The sequence below is a fragment of the Homo sapiens genome, chromosome 5 (assembly GCF_000001405.40).
Source record: "Homo sapiens chromosome 5, GRCh38.p14 Primary Assembly".
Classification (NCBI taxonomy): Eukaryota; Metazoa; Chordata; class Mammalia; order Primates; family Hominidae; genus Homo; species Homo sapiens.
Window position 1 is genome coordinate 78355213 of NC_000005.10, and position 21537 is coordinate 78376749.

Consider the following 21537-nt stretch of genomic DNA (forward strand, 5'->3'; position numbering starts at 1 on the left):
TGCTGCTTGGAAGTTTCCTGGCACACCAGGAAACTGAGTGTACGTCCCTTTTCTTTCTTCTACTTTCCACACCACAGTGGTGTGGACAGGTGGTCCCTGACTTGCAGTGGTTTGATTTATGATTTTTCGACTTTACAATGGGTTTATTGGGGGTATTAAATGCATTTTCACCTTACGATGGGGATTATCAGGGTATAGCCTCATTGTAAATCAAGAAGCATCTGTATTAGATTTTCTGTCTGCTGAAACAAATTACTACCAATTTAGCATCTTAATACAAAAATTTGGTTTTTTTCTTTTTTTAACAAAATAATCTGCACAATCAAGAAATTTATTTATTTATTTTACAACTCTGTAGGTCATAAGTTCAGCATGAATTTCACCAGTCTAAAATCAAAGTGTCAGCAAGGCTAGGTTCCTTTCTGGAGGCTCGAGGGAAAATCTATTTCCTTGTACATTGATCATTGGTAGAATGTAGTTCCTTGAGTCTGTAAGACTGAAATCTCTGTTTCCTTGGTGGCTGTCAGCTGAGGGTTCTTTCCAGCTTCAGAAGCCACTCACATGCCCTAGTTTAAGAACCCCTTCCTCAATCATCAAAGTCAGCAACTCTTCTGCTTTCCTCTTCCACTTTCAAGGACTCGTGATTACATTGGGCCTACTTGAATAATCCAGGATAATCCCCTCCTCTCAAGGTTCTTAACCTTAATTACACCTGCAAAGTCTCTTTTGCCATGTAAGGTAACATATTTACAGATTCTAGGGATTATAGCATGGACATCTTTGGGGGAGGGGAGGATTATTTGGCCTACCACACAATGCCTGCACCTCCTCTGTTATTGCCTGAAAATGTAGCCAGTGGCAGAATAGGGAGCCAGATAGGCTGGTGCTGGGGCGTCGAGGGTATCAGCAGACACAGCAGCAAATCTGGAGACTAGACCCACTGTAAGAGATGATGGATTTCAGTTCTAATCCATCAGTGAACCCAGAATCCAGTGAACCTTTTGAGGCAAGAAACGTAAATATCTAACTTGGCATTTTCCTAGCATTCCCCAGCTATAAGCTAGGCAGTTTAGAAAACAAGGAATTCAGACTCTAGACCCTGCTCAATAGGTTCACCAATTAAAAGTGTCAGTCTGAGGAGAAGCAGCATGATGATGATGGGAGGCACACTCTGAGGGGAAAAGAAACAGGGTTAGGGAGGAGTGAGCCACTGTCCCAGATTAATAGAACGTTAGAACTGTCCAAAGGATCTGAGATATCCTTTAGCCATGTTCTAGGCCTTTTAGGAAGTTTTCTGGAGCAGGCCTTACGCTTTATACCTGGTTTACTGCTTTATCCACAACATCACTGTTTTAGTTGCTCAAGAAATACTTGAATGATGTACTAGAGTAGAAACTCTGGTTAGAAAGGTGAGTTGATATGTTCAAGATCAAACGGTTGGTTTGCAGGAGAGAGGGCATAGACTGGTTTTGAGTCTTTGTTCTACCAAATTTAGGAGGTACCTTCCGTAAAATGAACTCCTGCACCAAATGAGGCTTCTTGTATAATTTCTCTCTACCTTGCACATAGCATTTCTTCCTTCTATATGAAATTATTCATATAGAATAATTCTATTCATTTAATAACCTATTTATTTAATGTCTAAAACATTAGTCAAGAGACCTGAGTTCTGTTCCCTGTTTCCCCATTCACTTCCTTGGTGTCTGAGACAAATTACTTAACCTGTCCAAACTCCAGTTTCTTCAATCATGAGAGAGGCTGAGGTTCCTTCTCAGCTCGCACATTCTATAATTCTAAATTTCATGGAGGCTAATGAATTAATAAGCTCCCTGCTATGGTTTGGGTATGGCTTTGGACCTGCAAAGTGTCATGTTGAAATATGAGTCCCAGTGCTGGAGTTGGGGCCTGGTGGGAGGTGTTTGGGCCATATGGATGAATTCCTCACAAATGGCTTGGTGCTATTCTCCTGAGAGTGAGTTCTCATCCTTGAGAACAGGTTGTTCAAAAGAACCGAGAGTCAGCTTCTCCCTTTCTCTCCCCTGATGCCCCATCTTGCACTGTAGCCATGTGATCTCTGCACGAAGTCTCCCCTTTGCCTTCTGCATGAGTGGAAGCAGCATAAGGCCCTCATCTGAAGCTGACAGCCTGCAGAACCATGAGTCAAATAATCCTCTTTTCTTCATACATTATCCAGCCTCCCGTATTCCTTTATAGCAACACAAACAGATTAAGACCCTCACCCATGGACCATATGTCTGCATGTCCTCATATCAGTGTTCCCAAAAGTGTGATCAGCCACCACCAAAGTCATCTCAGGTTGGCCAAGCATGGTGGCTCATGCCTGTAATCCCAGCACTTTGGGAGGCAGAGGTGGCCTGGATCATTTGAGGTCAGGAGTTCGAGACCAGCCTGGCAAACAAAGTGAAACCCTATCTCTACTAAAAATACAAAAATTAGCCGGGTGTGGTGGTGCATGCCTGTAATCCCAGCTACTCGGGAGGCTGAGGCAGGAGAATTGCTTAAACAAGGGAGGTGGAGGTTGTAGTGAGCCACGATTGTGCCACTGCACTCCAGCCTGGGTGACAGAGTAAGACTCGGTCTCAAAAAAAAAAAAAAAAAAAATCACCTGAGATCCTTTACATATGCTGATTTTTGCAGTTGTTAAGAATAATGAATCAGATATATGGTTTCCATTAGGCCATGCTTCCCTTTTCACTCTATAGGCATGCTACACATAAAAAGTGATAATATTTATGTGGCATACTAGGGGAAGAAACCTTAAGACTGTCTCTCTGACAATGCACATCTTGCTGAGAAATTCTGCCATACGTATTGAGAAAAACAGCTGCAGAAAAATATACATATGATCTAACTTTTTCAAGACAATGCCAAAGCTCAGTATTAGAGTGTATGCATATCTGCATGAATATGTATTGTTTTTATACAATTACATGTTATTTTATGTAAGTGCAGATATACACTATTACAAGAATATTTAAAGAAATGTACTAGGTTGTTAATGTAGGGGAAGAGAAGAGGGAATACACGGAATAAAAATTTTTGTAAGTGAAAAATTCAATATGTATGTCATGACTCCATTTATACATTTATGTAAAATAATGTATAGAGATGTAAAAAATAAAAAATGCAGATCCAGAGCCCCTACCTCAGATCCTTTCAAGCGTAATCTTAGCAATAGGAGGTATGGTAAGGTGGGTGTCTGCATCTTCAACAGGTATTCCAAATGATTCTATAACAGTAAAGTCTGTAAACCTTTGCATTAGGTGCAAATATCATTAGCTGTAAACAGAACATAGTTGGAAATTTCCATCCTGCAATGCGGGCTCAGCTGACCCTCATTGTCTTGGAACATAGTAGATGCATAATAAATAGTGCAGATTATTTTGAGTCATTTGGAGGACAGGTGGAGGGAGTGAGGGCAAAAGTGGTGAGAGAAGCAGATGAGCTGGGCAAGGACATGCTTGCTCAGGAGAAGGGAGGCAAAGCGTATAAGAACATACTGAGCCTCCTTGCCACTTTCGACGTTCAACCAATATTTGTTAGGCACTAAATATACATGCAGGACACTTTTCTGTATGTTGTTTCATTTAATTCTTAAATAATCCTTTACAGACTCAGAGAGGTGAAGAGAGTAGCACAGGTAGTATCAGAATTGGGATTCAAACCTGACACATACACTGAGCACTAAGTTAAAACCGGGCACTGGGCAGCTGCTGAGGATGCGATGGTGAGTACAACAGACTGCTTGCTCTTTTTGATATCTAGAATCGTACAGCTCTGCTGTGCTCATCCTTGTCTGTTGTCATTTACTAGTTGACATCTTCGTTGACTACCTAGAAGCAGCTGCTTCGACATCTATCCCAACCTGAATCCCGTCAAAGGGAGATTACAACAAATGTGCTTTTTGTCTATCATCTCTAGCTAGTGTTTCACAGTGGGGGGAGTATCATTTCCTGGGTGACTTTGCATAGAGCAAGCTCCCCAAAGGCCAAGGAATACTCAATCTAGATTCTTCCAATCCTCCGGTACCCACCAAGTCAAAAGAATTCTGGCTCCCTGTAGCTTCATCTAAGTGCTTTTCTGTTAGAGGAGAAAAGTGAGGAAAGCGATGCTCTTTCAATAAGTTCGGCAGGGTGGGGCAAGGAATGGTACAAATTGATTTTTTTTTTTTCTTGAGACAGAGTCTCGCTCTGTCTCCCAGGCTGGAGTGCAGTGGCCCGGTCTCGGCTCACTGCGACCTCCACCTCCCGGATTCAAGCGATTCTCCTGCCTTAGCCTCCAGAGTAGCTGGGACTACAGGCGTACGCCACCACTCCCGGCTAATTTCTGTATTTTTAGTAGAGACGGGGGTTTCACCATATTGGCCAGGCTGGTTTCGAACTCATGACCTTGTGATTCGCCCGCCTCGGCCTCCCAAAGTGTTGGGATTACAGGCGTAAGCCACCGCGCCCGGCCGGTACAAATTAATTTAACACATCTTTTGATAATCTCATCCTTGGTGTTGGAAAAGACGGGAAAATCCAAAAGTGTCTATTTTGTGCCCAAATGCTCAAGTTAATACTCGAGGGCCTTGATCTCTGGCCTCTTGCCATCCCTCTCCCCATTATTTCTGAAGAAGTAGCCATTTTGCAGATTCCGGAGGATGGGAGCCACGGCCGGCCCCTGGTACTGAATCTCATCTCCTTCTCAAGGCTCCTTGGATCAAGTTGGGACCGGCAGCGCCAAGGCTGCTCTCCGTGATTTAGCAGCAACCTAGAGTCAGAGAGACCGGAAGATGGGAGGCCGGGATTCTCAGGTGGGGTCAGGGGTATGCAAAAATCCTTAGCAGCGGCCGCGCCCCCGCCCCGGGGAGGTAATTTGCGGAGGGCGGTGCAGTAGCCTCTCCAGTGCCCGCGTCCCACGGTCTAACGGCACTGCTCCCGGGGTGCGCGGCCCACGACTCAGGCTGCCTCCCCCAACCTGACAAGTGTGCGTCCTTACCACAAAATGCCACCACTTCCCTAAGTGACGCTGGGCCCCGAGGACCTGATTTGAAATCGGTGTTCAGAAGACCGAGCCCGGCTGGACGCAGCTGGCCTCCGGCTGAGAGCGGAGGGGAAGGGTTCCATACTCTCCGAGGATCCCGCGGGCTCGTGGCGTGTGGAACGCTTTTCATCGCTTTCAGTTCCCGTTTCCTTCGCCCCGACTGCCTACTCGGTCGCAGCTAAAGCCCGGAGCGTGGGATCCGGGCCCGGAGGAACGGGATGGCGAACGCGAGCTGCGCCGCGGCCAGGAGCCCGCCGCACCGGGCATGCTCAGTGGCGCGGCCGGCTGGGTGGCCCGCGAGCTGCACCCGGATCTGCTCGGCGGCGGCGACGTGAGCGCGCAGGGGGGCGGCGGCCTCGCCTCGTCTCTCTCTCTGCGCCTGGGTCGGGTGGGTGACGCCGAGAGCCAGAGAGATGTCGGATTTCGACAGTAACCCGTTTGCCGACCCGGATCTCAACAATCCCTTCAAGGTGAGCTTCGGCCCCAGCATCTCCTGCCGCCGCGACGCGTCGTTGTTTGTGAAAACGGACGAGTTCCTTCGCGCCCACTGCGTCTGCCCCTCGGCTCCCCTTAGCAGCCCAGAGAGGGGCGCGGGGCCGCCGTCCTCCATTTGGGGTCGCGCCCCGGCCCCGTGTCACTCCTTTGGGTTTTGGGGCTTGGGGGTGGAACCTCCTCAGCTCGTGCCCGGTCGCCCTTCCACACGTCCCCGACTGGTGAGGGTCGTGTCTGCAGCCGGGACTGGGCCCGCGCGCCCGGAGGGGTCCTGGCCCGCCTCTCAGGAGAGAAAGCCGAGGGCAGGTAGAGTCGCCCCTTGCCAAGCAAGTGTGGCTGGCAGGGCCGGGAGTCGGCGGAGGGGGGCCCGCCCTGGGGTGGGGTTGTCATGGGGACCCGAGGTGGCGGCGGCGGAGAGCTGCGTGGGGTGATGGCAGAGGTGTGGAGGAGGAGAGAGGTGAGGGCACCGAGTATGCTGCAATTAAAAAAAAAAAGGTTATGTTTTTATTTTTTAAACTTGTGTTGCACCCAAATACCACCAGTGGCGCTGCCATCCCCCCTCTTTCTGTTAGGTTGAGGTTGAGGTTATTGATACCAAAGCAAAACTTAAAAATAAACATATCTGGAAAACAATAGTGCACGTGGACGACCTCTTCCCTACCCAGCTGCTTCTAGCAAGGTAAACGATGGGATATTTTCCAAGCTCCTAGTGCGTCACCGGTTCTCTGGGCTATGTGAGGATACCATTTCCTACTTGAGCTGCTTTTCTTCTTGGAGTCGACCTTATCAACCCCGGCTTCGGAAGGGCTTGGCACAGAATCCTGCAAAGGAAGGCGGCTGAGATATTCATCGTCTGCGTTTAAATGAATGCAACATCTAAATAACTCTCTCTTTGAAAGTATTCTGAATTTCCTAATGAGTGTAACTGTTAGCACGTGTAATTTGTTTCCAACTGTTGGTTGAAGTTGTTTCTCAATCCCCCCGGCCATGTGCAGTAGTAACTTTAATTTGCAGTCACACAGAATAAAACAGGAACTCTAATTTGTGGTCACACAAGTGTCACTTCTGGCTTGTTGAGTTTACATCTTTTTACTCCTGGTTTTATCTTTCATTAAGAATCCTGGAAGAGGAAAACTATTTCTGCTCTGATTATTAAATGCCTGATAATTCCAAGGAGGATTATTTTAATGAAATGACCCTGATTATTATTGACAACTCGACTCACTTTGTAGCAGTGTAGAATTAGACTCAGTCACTGTTTCATTGTCCCTAATGTCACTTAAAATTCAGTACAACTGGCCTGTACCTTTCAGTGACATGGTTGCATTTTAAGACTTTTTTTTTTTTCCTGGCAGTTTTGTTTCAATTAGTATTGGACTTGCTTCCATGTTGTGGAAAATCAGGTAGTTCTTAAATGGTAGACTTTCTAAAGAGACCGTTCATAAATTGTTAAATGGGTGTTATTTTAAAATATTTTGAAGATAAAACATCAAGAACCTTTTAGCCTTTCCTAATTCAGATAATTCACTGACGCTGTTTATTCAGCATCTGACGATTTGGCAGTGTATTTTCTACTTGGTCATTCCATTTCATGGTTCATTTCATATTAACTGGCTCTCTTGTTAGGGCAAAACATTGTCTTCATCTTAGCCCAGACTGTCCTTTTGTGACATCTGATATTGCCATGACACTTTTCCTCTTCTGACATTCATAAAGTTGCTGTAGTAATTCTAAACCCAGGAGTTGTTTTAAATATTCATTGTGGCATAACGTTATAAATCTTTTTTGTTCTTTTATAAGTGGATGTATCCAGGACAATGATTATTCAAGTTTGTAAAATGCATCAGGGACAGATCATTTAGGTCTAAAGTAGACTTGGTTGTACACATATTTCTGCTTATGATCTTTCTCTGTTTTTGGTGACTGTTATAGCACTGTCAGTGTATCTGACCCTTTATTTTTCCATTTATGTTCACCTGCCCCTCCTCCTCACAAAGTATAGTTTTATATCTATATTTTGTCTTTTTACTTCTGCTTATATTTATGTAAAAGTGATTTTTGAAATAACATTTCTGATACTCTACTTAAATCTGAAATGTTTCTAGAATCATTTGAGTTACTTTATGATCATTTTTCTTTTTTTACTTTTTTTTTTTTTTTGAGACGGAGTCTTGCACTGTTGCCCCGGCTGGAGTGCAATGGCGTGATCTCAACTCACCACAACCTCTGCCTCCCGTGTTCAAGTGATTCTCCTGCCTCAACCTCCCTAGTAGCTGGTATTACAGGTGCCCGCCACCACACCCGGCTAATTCTTTGTATTTTTAGTAGAGACAGGGTTTCATTGTATTGGCCAGGCTGGTCTTGAACTCCTGACCTCGTGATCCACCTGCCTCAGTCTCCCAAAGTGCTGGGATTACGGGCGGGAGCCACTGCGTTCAAGCAGATCGTTTTTCTTTCTTTCTTTCTTTCTTTTTTTTTTTGAGACGGAGTCTCCCTCTGTCGCCCAGGTTGGAGTGCAGTGGCGCGATCTCTGCTCACTGCAAGCGCTGCCTCCTGGGTTCACACCATTCTCCTGCCTCAGACTCCCAAGTAGCTGGGACTACAGGCGCCCGCCACCACCGGCTGATTTTTTGTATTTTTAGTAGAGACGGGGTTTCACCGTGTTAGCCAGGATGGTCTCGATCTCCTGACCTCGTGATCTACCCGCCTTGGCCTCCCAAAGTGCTGGGATTACAGGCGTGAACCACTGGGCCCGACCCATTTTTCAAATCTGTTTTTATTTGCAGTATTTGAAGATAAAGCTCTTATTTTCAAGTATATGATATTTCGCATTTGGTAACTATGCTAATTTCTTTTTCATTAAATCCTATTTGTTTTCCATTGCCTTTTTCATTTTTTAGCATTTCTTTTCCTTCACTTTTATGTTAGGAATACTTCTGCAAGCATCTTCGTTTGTGCCGTATCATGAAAGTAGTTTGAGTCTATTCTCCTTATATAATATAACCATAGTGGTTTACTTGATTTTATTGGTTCTTGTAAGGCTATTTGCTGGATTCAGTTCATTTTTTTTTGTTGAGCCCCTGCTTTATATTCTAGTGGTTTTCCTAGGCTTAGTGAATGGTTTTATGAAATTTGAATGGCTTTCATTGCGCATCAAGAAACTTGGAATAACTGGAAATCTGTAGTGATCGAAAAGAAAATAGGTGATTAATTATATAGAAGTTTCTGAGGATCCACTCTTGAGCTGTTAAAATGGGGTTTTAAAGCTATAGAGGGAAAAATATTTTCTGTATAGTCAACATGTAATTATTGAAGAATTGCTGTATGTCCTTTGTTTTCTGTTGAGTTTATTCATTCAACAAATACTGAAGAAGTGTCTCTGTCCTTATGGCTATTAGTCTAACAGTGAGACAAATATGCTTGGAAAATGAATGAAAGGGGAGAGTTTAATAACCAGCAGAGGTCAGCAATATAGGCTCTTACAAGTCAGCATAAGAGTGTATGGTTAAGTGCCGGAACAAGTGCAGTTTGTTCATAAAAGGAAGAAATTAGTAAGTGGTCAGAAAATTTTCATGCTTTATGCTTTTGCATATTAACATGATAATTGATTGAATAAGATAGTTCATTATGGAAATAACATTTAAATTAATTTTTAAAATATGAAGAGAATTAGAATTTCACAGCTGGGGGGGCAAATTCTTAAAATATATTCAGTCAGATCTCATAGATTAAAAAACAAAGCCCACAGAGGCACACTTGCTCATTGTCTTGTGCCCATGTGTAGGTAGTGTAGAATTGGCATTAGAACTTAGGTCTCCTGATTTCTAGTCCATTACTGGTGACACTGTATGTGCTCCCTGGTTGCATTTTGATACCAAAATTCTTGTTTTGTATTTGGAGGTTAGAGTTGAGGGGAGGCAGCAGAGGATAGGATTAAAAAATTTTGGCTCAAGAATTTGAAAAGATCTGGGCTTGATCCTGGCTTTGACACTAACTGGTTGTGAGACCTTGGAAAGTTACTTAACCTCTTTCAGACTCAGTTTACTCATCGCGTGTTCTCACTCATAGGTGGGAATTGAATAATGAGAACACTTGGACACAGGGTGGGGAACATCACACACCGGGGTCTGTCATGGGGTGGGGGGAGGGGAGAAGGATAGGAGATATACCTAATGTAAATGACGAGTTAATGGGTGCAGCACACCAACATGGCACATGTATACATATGTAACCTGTACGTTGTGCACATGTACCCTAGAAGTATTAAAAAAGAAAGACTCAGTTTACTATTTTGTAAAATAGGGTAATAGTACATTCTCTATAGGATTGTAAATAGGATTAGATGAACATACATTTAGCATATAGTAAGAGCTTAATGTATAGTGGTTTTAATTAGGTACTAATATTTAGTATTAATAGTAATTTAAGAAATTCTGTTTAATGGCCAGGCGCAGTGGCTCACGCCTGTAATCCCAGCACTTTGGGAGGCTGAGGCGGGCGAATCACGAGGTCAGGAGTTCGAGACCAGCCTGGCCAACATGGTGAAACCCCGTCTCTACCAAAAACACAAAAAATTAGCTTGGCGTGGTGGCGGGCACCTGTAATCCCAGCTACTTGGGAGGCTGAGGCAGGAGAATTGCTTGAACCTGGGAGGTGGAGGTTGCAGTGAGCTGAGATGGCACCACTGCACTCCAGCCTGGGCGACAGTGCGAGACTCATCTCAAAAAAAAAAAAAAAAAAAAAAAAAAGTTCTGTTTAATAATCTCTATATGCTTAGCTATGAATTTAGTGAAATTTATGTTACTTTTGGATCTTCTGGAGTGCTGGTAGTAGCTGTTTGACTGATCATAGTCAAGGAATCAAAGCTAAAAATAATTAAGTGCTTTGCCTACATCAACCTGCTAGACTAGACCAAGGTTGTCTGAATTCTGGTGCTTTTTCACAACACGTAGTTCCTCCCTAATAAAATATCTCCATGTTAAAATTGAGCATAGTGTCCATTTTGTTTTGGCCTCAAAAATTAATTTTAGTCTATTGAAATTTTTTTTAGAAATGGCCTAAAATTCAGCATTCTCACTTATGTTATCTTTTAAGTTACAGTAATCTGGTGGCATTGTAAGAGTTGAAATTTAAAATTGAAAATGACCCATAATTCAAGTGTGTTATTCATTTGTCTTAGTCTGTTTGGGCTGCTGTAACAAAGTATAGTACCTCACAGTGGGTAATTTATAAACAACAGAAATTTATTGCCCAGAACTCTGGAGGCTAGGAAGTCCAAGATCAAGGTCCCAGCAGATTCAGTGTATGGTGAGTCCTTTTCCTCATTGATGGCATCTTCTTTGTGTCCTCACATGGCAGAAGGGGATGGCAGCTCTTTGGGGCCCTTTTCTTTTCTTTTCTTTTTTTTTTTTGAGACGGAGTCTTGCTCTGTCGCCCAGGCTGGAGTGCAGGGGTGCCATCTCGGCTCACTGCAACCTCCATCTCCTGGGTTCAAGCGATTCCCCTACCTCAGCCTCCCGAGTAGCTGGGATTATAGGTGCATGCCACCATGCCCAGCTAATTTTTGTATTTTTAGTAGAGACGGAGTTTCACTATGTTGGCCAGGCTGGCCTTGAACTCTTGGCCTCAAGTGATCCACCTGCCTCAGCCTTCCAGAGTGCTGGGATTACAGGTGTATGCCACCACACTTGGCCTCTGGGTCCTTTTTTTAATAGGGATATTAATCCCATTCTTGAGAGCAGAGCCCTGCTGACCTAGTCACCTCACAAAGTCTTCACCTTCTGATACCATCACGTTGGTGATAGGTTTCAGCATGTGATTTTTAAGGAAACAAACGTTCAGACCTTAGTTTTCATTTTGTAACATCAAGAATGTTATCCATCTTATTTCATTTACCTTGACAATGATACTTACAAGTTGATTTCACTCCTCCCTTATCTGTTTAAAATTTTGAGGCTGAGCTTGATAGCTCATGCTTGTAATCCCAGTGCTTTGGGAAGCCAAGGCAGGAGGATTGCTTGAACCCAAGAGTTTGAGACCAGCCTGGGCAACATAGTGAGACTTCCATCTCTACTAAAATTTAAAAGTTAGCTGGGTGTGGTGGTGCACACCTGTAATCTAAGCTACTTGGGAGGCTGAGGCGGGAGGGTGACAGAGTGAGACCCTGTCTCAAAAAAAAAAAAAAAAACCCAAAAAACAAACAAAAAAAAGATATAAAATTTTGAGTTTGGAGATTGGATAGCACTAGGAAAGTATTCTGAGGATTTCCTTTGTGATTGTCACATTTTGAAAACTGTCTTTTAACATTAATCTGGAACATAGTGGTTGCAGTTTGTGGGCCTGTGTTATTTTACGTTCATGTCAACTGCATGAATTCCTGCTCATTTTTCCTCATGTTAATGTTTTTAAAAAGCACATATTGAGCTGCTGTTATATTTCATCAACTTAAGATGCCATCCTTTGTAAGATGCACCATTATCTTATTTACCACTGTCTCACTTATCTGTTGCTATGTAACAATCCCAAAATATAATGGCTTAAAATAACAATTATTTGCTCACGATTCTGTTAATTGCGCTAGACTTAGCTGGGCAGGTTTTTTCTTTTTTTTAATGTTCTTTTCTGGAGTCACTAAAGTGGCTTCAGTCACCTGGTTTATGGTTTCAGATATCCTTACTCAAGTGCCTGCTGGTTACCTGGAGATGTCAGTGGGCACAGCAATTAGCTGTCTTTCATGTAGCCTCTCTACTAGTAATAAATGGGCTTTGTGCATAGTAGCAGCAGTGCTCCCAGAGGGCAAGAGCTGAATCTACAAGGCTTCTTGAATCATATGCTACTTCTGCTGTATTCTGTTGGTCAAAACAAGGCACAAGTTCAGCCTAGATTTTAAAAGGAGTGGCAAGCAATAGGCTCCACTTCTTGACTGGAGACAGACCTATGATCTGAAGATACACCTAGTATAAAATGGCGAGGTAGTCGTAGGATAACTTCACTAGACACTCCCATTCAAATAGGGAAAGAGTGGGAGGCGTGTAGCACCTGCTGATGCATAGCAGTTCTGAAATCTAGCCAGGCACGTGTTGTTAGGGTCCCCTACATTGGGGACAATGAATGTTTCTTGATTAGGGCCCAGTTCTGCTACCTCGTATTGGTTCCTTCACCTGTTATTTTCTTCTGCTTTTGGCTCCACCCTCTGAGAGGTCCTTTATTTATTTTTTTCTATAAGAATGAGCCCTTTTGGCAGCTGAGTAGCATTTTTGGCCTGCTTCTTGCCCATTGAAAATTGGGAGCCCAGAAGTTTCTATTAATTTTGAACTGTTTCTTTAGTCCAGGCTGTCACAACTCTCTTAACAGTTTCTTTTTAATCTTACCAGAGTTCAAACCATGCCTTAAAAACCACATTTGTCATTCTTTTTGAGACAATCTTCATTTAGGGTGAAGTGTCCGTTGCCATGGTCGGTATTCTTCAGATGTTTAGAAAACTTTTGTCTAGGTTGAGCATCTCATATGGCCAGGGGAAGGCTGCTGCCATAGGAGGCTGCTGTGCCACGTGACAAAACTAAGATTTGAACACAGTTTTATTTTGGCCCTGTAGCTTTACAGTCATATGAGATGATGGTGATTATGAAAATTTCGAAAGTAAACTGTTCTTGTGCTGATATTACCAAAAGTTTTTTTTGGACTATGATTAATATTTAATAGTGATAAATGCAGATCCAAATAATTTATTGGTTATTTCCTTAATATGAACCACCAGTGTGATATAGTTGCTGAAAAATATATATTGGCTTAGTGAAATTAGTGATCAGTTCCTTAAAATTAATAATCCTATAGTATTCTGTTCTGGTCTAATAGCTGGGTATTCTTCTCAATTGCAAGTGCATATTTAAAGAGTGGTTTGAAAATACTAGGATATGCCCAAAGAGGACAGTCAGAATGGTCATGGGACTGGAATCAAGTTCTAGGAAGAACAATTTAAGTTTCAATTACTCAGTGGATTTAGTCTACAGAGGGCTAAAGGGAAATAGGAGAGCTCCCATCAGATACTTAAAGTGTTCTTAGGTAAGTGAATAAACTTGTTATTTGTTGCTTTAGAAAAAGAATCTAAGGTTAACTGGCAAAGTTTACTTGAAGGTAAAGGTAAATTTTGTCCAAACAGACTTTTAAAAATCTGCTACCATGGCCTGACAATGCTCTTTTGGTAGGGCATTCTCCAGCACTTGCAGAAATTCAAGCAGAAGTTGGATAACCTACAGAGATGCCTAATTTCAATATTGTAATGTCTCAGGGAATAGGGAGACCCAAGGAGAGGGACAGAGAATGGGAACAACTGGTTGGTGGAATAGTCAGGACACACAATTTTTTTTTTTTTTTTGAGACAGGGTCTCTCTCTGTCTCCAAGGCTGGAGTGCAGTGGCGTGATCTCGGCTCACTGCAACCTCCACCACGCAGGTTCAAGCGATTTTCCTGCCTTAGCCTCCCGAGTAGCTGGGACTATAGGCGTGCACCGCCACACCTGGTTACTTTTTGTATTTTTAGTAGAGACGGGGTTTCACCATGTTGGCCAGGCTGGTCTCCAACTCCTGACCTCAGGTGATCTGCCTGCCTTGGCCTCCCAAAGTGCTGGGATTACAAGCGTGAGTCATCGTGCCCGGCCAGGACACATAACATTTATCAAGTAAGTTTGCAGTGTTATGGGCATGGTTTGTGGCACCCCAAGACAATTACAGTAGTAACATCAAGTATCACTGATCACAGATCACCATAGCAGACATAATGATAATGAAAAAGTTTGCAATATTGCGAATACTACCGTAGTGTGACGCTAGAGATGTGAAGTGAGCACATGCTGTTGGGAAAATGGTGCTGCGAGACTTGCTTGATGCAGGGTTGCCACAAACCTTCAATTTATTTTTTTAAAAAAGGCAATATCTGTGAAGTACAGTGAAACTAGGTATTCCTGCATTTTCTCTGTTCTAATATATCGACCATATTGGATATTGGAATTAAGTATGATCAGTTCAGCTAGAGAGGATGCTTTATGTTCAGAGACCAGCTATGCTCTGAGCCTCAGCTTCTGCTGAGGGAGCAGCCCTCATGGTAGCTTACACATTTGTGATCATGTCCTCTAGGGTGTGACTTTTGCCACCCTGGCCTCAGCTGACTGATCTTAACAAAGGTACTTGTCCAAAGCAGTGGAATAGCAGTTATCTCACTAGGCTTTTGAAGGCCATTTTCAAGAATTCCTGTCCTTCATTAGAGGTGTTTTTTAACTAGAAGGGATGTGCCATGTCATGAAGAATTTCAATCTCTGTGAAACCTGGCGTTCTTCTTTCTGTATATATCTTTAAAATATTCTCCTGCTCCCAGCATTTGGGGTGACCTGAGTGAGTCTGTCTGTTTCAACCAGAATTGCTAAACCGTAAGTGTAAAGTAACATTTTCTTGCCAAAAGGGTGATAGAGTTAAGCCTGTATTTAGACCTACAGTTTTTGGTGGTGTAGTGGAGTAATATACTTGCAAATATTGTAAGATGTTTTTAAATCACAAGGGAGAATTTTCCAACTTTCAGTGGGTGTGGGATATAAAAGGTGACATGGAGTTTGGTTAGATTTAACCTTGTAACAAGTCTCTGAGTTGTTCCTACTGAGGCAGTCTGTAATGTCCTGCAGCGTTTGACTTCATATGTGTAGACTGGTGTGGAAAACCCTGTTCTCCTTTCTGTGCAGAAGGCTTGCAGATCTATACCCAGAGAGCAATCCAGTAATCCCCTTCTCCTTGGCATTTGGCTTTGGGTGCTTTTCAGAATTAGTAATGTTTCTTTATCCATTGCTGGACACCTAAGTTGTTTCTGTTTTTTGTCTATTACAGATAATGTGTCTATAAACATTCCTGTACAAGTGTTCTGTTTGATCACCTGTTTTAAATTCTTTTGGGGATATATACCTACAAGTGGAATTGCCTAGTCATATGGTAACTCTGTTTAATCATGGAGGAGCTTCCAGACCCTTTTCCAAAGTGGCTGTACCATTTTATATTCCTGCTAGCAGTGTATGGGTATGTAGATTTCTCTACATCTTTGTTAACACTTGCTATTACCTGTTTTTTATTCTAGTCATCCTAGTGGGGGTGAAGTGGTATCTTGTGGTTTTGATTTGCAGTCTGCTGATAACTAATGATGTTGAGAATCTTCTCATTTGCTTATTGACATTTGCATATTTTCTTTGATGTCTGTTCAGATCCTTTGGCTATTCTTAGATTGGGTTATTTGTCTTTTTTATTATTGAGTTATAAGAGTTTTTATATATCCTGGATACATACCTTTATCAGGTATGTGATTTGTGACTTTTTTTCCCATTTTCTGGGTTGTCTTTTTACTTTCTTGATAACATCTTTTGAAGCACAAAAGCTTTTAATTGTGTTAAGTTCAAATTACCTATTTTTTGTTGTTGGTGTTTTAGTGTCACATCTAAGAATCCTTTGCCAAATCTGAGGTAAAGAAGGTTTATCCCTATGTTTTCTTCAAAGAGTTTTATAGTTTTAGCTGTTGAATTTAGGTCTATGATTCATTTTGAGTTAATTTTTGTATTTGGTATGACGTAAGGTCAACTTTATTGTTTTGCATGTGGTTATAATGGTTGTTCCAGCACCATTTGTTGAAAAGATTGTTCAGTCCCCATTGAATGATCTTGGCACACTTGTCAAAAATCTCAGTATTCTTAATCTGTGTTCTTGCAAAGGAGATGAAATATTTTATCTGAAAAAGCCCTCATATTTCATGCAAAAATGCCTTGCAAATACCTGGTAGTCACCAGGTTTTCTGAGTATATATTAACTTGTCCGGCTTCTAAAATTGCCAGAGCTACTTTTGCAACTGCTTCTAAGTCTTTGCATACTTTAATGCTTAAAAACAAATTTAATAGCAGGTTTTACACTTGGTTTTAGAATGTAATTATGAACACATTGTCAGTATTACCAACTTGATATGTTTCCTTTTTTAAAAAATAAATGCTTCCTTAAAAGAAATACTTCCATTTATTTTACAGAATACAGTTGAATTAAATAATACATTTTTGCATTTAAGCAGAAACACTGGAACCCCTTAAACTCTTAAAGCAAAGGATATGCGTATAGTGTAAAGCGTTATGCATTTTGAGTATTGCTGAAATCAAATTAGGAAGGAGGGATTTGTGATAGTTATACATTGATAATTATAACTTGATTGATAGTAGAAGAAAACACAAAACATTTGAATGCAAATAATTTAGTATATATAGCTATTAAAGATGTTTGCTTCTCAAACACAGTGAAAACAATGCATAGTGTAGAAGCATTCTGTACGTAACAAATACTTTAAGTTCTCACTTTCTTCAAGAGAAATAAGCTGTGGCTGTGTTATATACATGCTAACGGCAGCCATTTAATCTGTGGAAATCCTCTAATGGTGGTTAGAATTCTTATATGATAATTTGGGATATATGGAGAGCACTGTCAAGTGAAAGTGGTAGGTAATGGGAAAAGAGCATCAGGAGTATTGGCCAGTCATGGCCAGGAGTTGGTAAACTAGGTGTAATTTTACCACCATTTGGCACTTTTTCTTATAAACAAATTCTAAATGGTGGTTAAGCTTCCCAGGCCAGTGCTTACAATTGTAGTATGTAGCACCAAACCCAAGCATTCTCTACAGTAATGTACCCAAAGAGGGGGAAGGTTCATTTGTGATATCAGGGATTCATCCCCTGCTAGCCTACCATGACATTGAAAAGTAATCATAACCTTAAAAACTAATAGCTCAGATATTAAAAAAAAAAATTAGATGTCTTTTTCAAAAATCTCCAAGCAAGTGCACAACTCTCCAACATTTGTATGAAACCTACATCACAAGGTGATTTGTCATAACAATAAAAGGAGTTCTTCTTACTGTTATCCTCACTTCAAGTCATGATATATAATAGCTTCTAAAATCCCTGAGCTTGGTAAGGCAACTAGTAATTTGCATGTCTTGTTTTTGTTTCTATTTATGTTAATACCAAAAAGTTTGAAAGTTAATAAAAAATCAGAGCCTGCTTTAGAAAATACAGGCAACTTGGGGTAAAATAAATAATAATTACATGTTGCAACAAAAGATAATCTTGCATTATTATTTATTTTCTTTATCTGTTATTTAAAAAGATTCCCATCTTTTTTTCTGATTCAAAAGGAAAACTCCTGGAACTATTAATATAAGAAACATAACAACAACAATAACTAAATACTGAAGTTAGAAAAATTAATTTGCCTGTGGTCACCTAGCTAGGAGGTAGAGAAGCAAACCTTAAGCAGTGTGGTTCCAGAGCCCACCTTCTTACCTTCTCCCCTCTGCTAGTGGAATACAAACCTCTGCAAATTTCACTTACTCCTTCTTCTTATCTCCCTGACACCAGGCTAAGAACACAGAAATGTTTGCCTGCAGTATGTATAGTTTATAGAACTTTATCTTATGAACTGAACTCTAAGTGGTGGTGAAGTTCCCCTGAGATTCAGCTATAAACATTTCCATTAAAAATGTTTATATTAAATAGAAAAAGCATGTATTACTACTTTCAAGCTTTGGGAATACATTAATTTGCATTTTTGCAATATGCTACTTACCTTAGGCTTGCTACATCCAATATAAAACCACAGAGACTGACTAACTCAACCTAAAACAAGCATCCCTAGCTGTAGGAAAGTTGCTATGTAGGAAAGTTGCCACATGGGGATAAAATTACACCTCTATTTTTTAAATCTTTCTTAAGGATTTACTATCCATGTAAGACATGTTTATATTCTCTAAATGTTCAGTTCTTTGCCCTACTGATTGCTTTAAGACGTAATTTGGTTTCTTGCCACTGCTCTATCTTTAGGCATATTATCTTTTTTTGACTATAGTTCAGTCAGAACATGTTTTCATGTAGTTCCTATAGCTCAGATATGGTACTACAAAATAGAGTGTGAAATTTGGACTAGCAGGACTGCCTTTACCTCTATGGTATCTGATAACATTTGGTATCTAATTCTTTTGCCAGTGGACCATCTAATTTCTGTTATTTTGGTTAGTGAGTTTGAGTGGACCTAATGGTATAATTTGAAAAACAAACAAAACATATTCTCAGTCTTTATCAACCATTATATTTAAAATGGAGAGCTTGCCAGTTTAATAGGTCTTTATGGTTATTTAAAATTTTATATAATTACTGTGACTGCATTGGAGATTAAAGTGGACCAAACTCAATTGTCTCCAAGAGATTATCATCATTGAAGATGGAGTAAGAGTAGGTTATTTAGTAACGTATATGAAACTCCCAAAAATCAGATGCTGTGATAGTCACTTGGGATACAAGATAAAGAGAATTTTCTGATGTCAAATAATCCACACTTTAGTTGGGAGATATAATGTGTGATAAATGCTTTGATGCTAACAAAACAAGAATAACATGTTCTTCATATTGCAGAAACAGAACTTCCTGAGAAGATGAGGCCTGAACTATCTTAGAGCCTCAGTTCCCCTAAATGCAGAATCTGAGGCAGAAGGCATATGTGTTGTTATACTTCACTTCTCTCATTTTATAGGTAGGGAAATTCGGACACAGAAGTTAATTTTTCTAAGTTTACTCAGGAGTGACAGGACTTGGAATAAAATTGTTTCATGGAATTGCTTCAATAAGGGTAAGGATAATGTGAGAAATAATTTCTCATAGCAATTGCTTAAAAGTGCTGCTGGCAATATAAAATGAAACAAAAAAAGGACCAGACCTCTCAATGTCATTTTGGCTGTAAGCTAAGAAACTAGAATTTCTTGTTTTCTATATTATTTAGGTTCATTACATTTATTATTAATTATCTGCAGGAAATTTTTACCAAATTATATTCACAAATTATGTTTGTTTCCAAAGAAATCTTTCTCTAGAATCTATAGAGTGTACTCGATAATCAAACAGATGCCTACTTAGGAGGTAAGTTGGCTTGGGCATGATTGCTTTAGTTAAGTTTCTAATTTACTAAGGACTGATTTGGGTCTATAAACATAAGTGAGTTTCTTTTAGATTTGAGTAAGACTGTTACGACCCTTGCCATGATATGAATTTTTCAAAATCATGATTTATTGAATAATTCCTAGTGATTATTAAGCACGTATCACAGTTATAAAAGTTTCGCTAAATACACTTGTCTTAGAGTCTTGTTGAGAGATTTTTAATGGCTTTTCCTAGCTCCTTTTTAAAAAAAGTGGGGCATTTAGAAACTGTAGTACTCTTCCAGGTGAGTGAATTTGTTAGTATTTATTAAATTCATATGATTATAGTAACTCTGAGAATTATGGAGTAGGGGAAAAATTGAACTCAGGGGAGGGCCTCTCAGCTTGGGGCATTTCTTGTTTAATCAAATTGTCTAGTGTAAGTGTATAGTCTTGACTGAACCAAGCAGAGCTATTGAAGAGTATTTTAATTACATTTTATAGAGCAGCACAATATTTATTCTTTTTCTTCTGAGGAAATATAGTTTTGAACATAAATTTCTTTATTGCATTTTCTTCCAACAACTTGGTCTTTGGATTTAGATTTGGATTTGAATCCTGACCATGTCACTTATTATATGACTTTGGGCAAATTACTAAAACATCTCTAAGTCAGTATTCTCAGCAGTGAAAGAAAAGATACAGAACCCAAGTCATAAAGCTCTTCTGAGGATTACATGAAATAATTAAGAGTCTGGTATCATGCTAACCTAGATGAATTTTCTTTCTCTCTTTGAATCTGTAGCCTTCAATTTCCCATTGGCTTCCTTGATAGAACTATAAATGTGCATTTTCTTATAAATGTTTAATATATTCAAAATAATACCTTATATCTCATGAAAAAGTGTGAAGGAACTAATGGTGAAAATCTGCTACTGTGTTATATAAAAATACTGGACTGGAAAGATTCTAATCATGTCTCTTGTCATCCTTTGTAATTTTGAAAAACTTAGAGGAAATTTAAGTCTAGTTTGTCATATTTCTTTTTGCTAACATAATTGAATTTGTCCAAATGGACAAAAGTGAAATTATTCTATGAGCCAGTCTTGAATAAGTTGTAGTGCCTGGATCAGTACTGTCCAATAGAAATATAATTTCTGCCGCATATGCAATTTAAAATTTTCTAGTAGCCATATTAGAAAAAAAGGAAAAACCAAGTGAACTTAATTGTAATACATTTTATTTTACTCCATATAAAGAATCTTATTTCAACACCTAATCAATATAAATGTTGCAGGAAGTCAGGGACCCCGACTGTTCATACACCCCCTCCCCTTTTGAAATCCTTAATAAAAACCTGCTGGTTTTGAGGCTCAGGGGGGCATCACGGTCCTACCGATATGTGATGTCATCCCTGGTGGCCCAGCTGTTAAATTCCTCTCTTTATACTGTCTCTCTTTATTTCTAGCCGGCCGACACTTATGAAAAATAGAACTTACGTTGAAATATTGGGGGTGGGTTCCCCCGATATATAAAAATTAGAGATATTTTACATTGTTTTGCTAAATCTTTGAAATTGAAAATCTAATGTATTTTATACTTTTAGCACATCTCAATTGGACTACATTTTAAGAGCTACATGTGGCTGGTGGCTACCATATTTACAGGTAGCACAGGTGTATAGCACATCTATAAAATGCATTACTACAACAGTAGATGGCTTTTGCACACTGTAGGATGTGTGTGATAAACGAATGTCATTTATTATTGCCGGTCTAAAGTTTGTCTCCAGTTCTTAGCAGTCACTTAATGGTGAGAATTTACCTGTCATTGCAATCTGTTCAATAAATGATTTCGCCAGTTTTCATTGCCCATTCCCAAGTATTTAAAAATTTCAAAGGCCTCAAATATATCTACTTCACATTAATTATATCTGTAGGAATGACATGAAAAGGTTTGTATTTTGAAAAGCTGATTCTGGCTTATTATGAAGAATAGATTGGCATGGGGTCGGAGGATAGGGAGGGA

The 21537-nt window shown here is 40.3% G+C and overlaps 1 protein-coding gene and 1 long non-coding RNA gene across 5 annotated transcripts in view, besides 8 other annotated features; one reads left to right on the plus strand and one right to left on the minus strand.

The window, feature by feature from the left end:
• Nucleotides 1–3551: 3551 nt before the first annotated feature.
• SCAMP1-AS1 (SCAMP1 antisense RNA 1) lies at nt 3552–5329 on the minus strand. The gene is made up of 2 exons (NR_105014.1): nt 5002–5329; nt 3552–4773 (listed from the first exon to the last, which is right to left on the minus strand). It is a non-coding gene; the product is annotated as an SCAMP1 antisense RNA 1 (long non-coding RNA).
• Nucleotides 4457–5053: an enhancer, noted in NCBI's record as "NANOG-H3K27ac-H3K4me1 hESC enhancer chr5:77655493-77656089 (GRCh37/hg19 assembly coordinates)". NCBI's record gives its function as "activates a minimal SCP1, AML or CMV promoter by ChIP-STARR-seq in primed H9 embryonic stem cells {active_cell/tissue: H9 hESC(primed)}" and the evidence as "EXISTENCE:reporter gene assay evidence [ECO:0000049][PMID:30033119]".
• Nucleotides 4855–4944: an enhancer, noted in NCBI's record as "active region_22706". NCBI's record gives its function as "activates an Ori minimal core promoter by ATAC-STARR-seq in GM12878 lymphoblastoid cells {active_cell/tissue: GM12878}" and the evidence as "EXISTENCE:reporter gene assay evidence [ECO:0000049][PMID:35858748]".
• Nucleotides 4975–5134: an enhancer, noted in NCBI's record as "active region_22707". NCBI's record gives its function as "activates an Ori minimal core promoter by ATAC-STARR-seq in GM12878 lymphoblastoid cells {active_cell/tissue: GM12878}" and the evidence as "EXISTENCE:reporter gene assay evidence [ECO:0000049][PMID:35858748]".
• Nucleotides 4975–5650: a biological region, named in NCBI's record as "NANOG-H3K27ac-H3K4me1 hESC enhancer GRCh37_chr5:77656090-77656686".
• Nucleotides 5054–5650: an enhancer, noted in NCBI's record as "NANOG-H3K27ac-H3K4me1 hESC enhancer chr5:77656090-77656686 (GRCh37/hg19 assembly coordinates)". NCBI's record gives its function as "activates a minimal SCP1, AML or CMV promoter by ChIP-STARR-seq in naive H9 embryonic stem cells {active_cell/tissue: H9 hESC(naive)}" and the evidence as "EXISTENCE:reporter gene assay evidence [ECO:0000049][PMID:30033119]".
• Nucleotides 5315–5404: a silencer, noted in NCBI's record as "silent region_16119". NCBI's record gives its function as "represses an Ori minimal core promoter by ATAC-STARR-seq in GM12878 lymphoblastoid cells {active_cell/tissue: GM12878}" and the evidence as "EXISTENCE:reporter gene assay evidence [ECO:0000049][PMID:35858748]".
• Nucleotides 5405–21537, plus strand: part of SCAMP1 (secretory carrier membrane protein 1) — a 120123-nt gene continuing 103990 nt past the window's right edge. For all 4 annotated transcript variants that reach the window (NR_110885.2, NM_004866.6, XM_011543727.4 and 1 more), the window contains exon 1: nt 5405–5516. Coding sequence is in view for 3 of the 4 variants with exons in the window: in NM_004866.6 (NP_004857.4) it covers nt 5460–5516 (57 nt within the window). In the remaining variant the exon portion in view is untranslated. The remainder of the gene's footprint in view (nt 5517–21537) is intronic.
• Nucleotides 5835–5954: a silencer, noted in NCBI's record as "silent region_16120". NCBI's record gives its function as "represses an Ori minimal core promoter by ATAC-STARR-seq in GM12878 lymphoblastoid cells {active_cell/tissue: GM12878}" and the evidence as "EXISTENCE:reporter gene assay evidence [ECO:0000049][PMID:35858748]".
• Nucleotides 6045–6164: an enhancer, noted in NCBI's record as "active region_22708". NCBI's record gives its function as "activates an Ori minimal core promoter by ATAC-STARR-seq in GM12878 lymphoblastoid cells {active_cell/tissue: GM12878}" and the evidence as "EXISTENCE:reporter gene assay evidence [ECO:0000049][PMID:35858748]".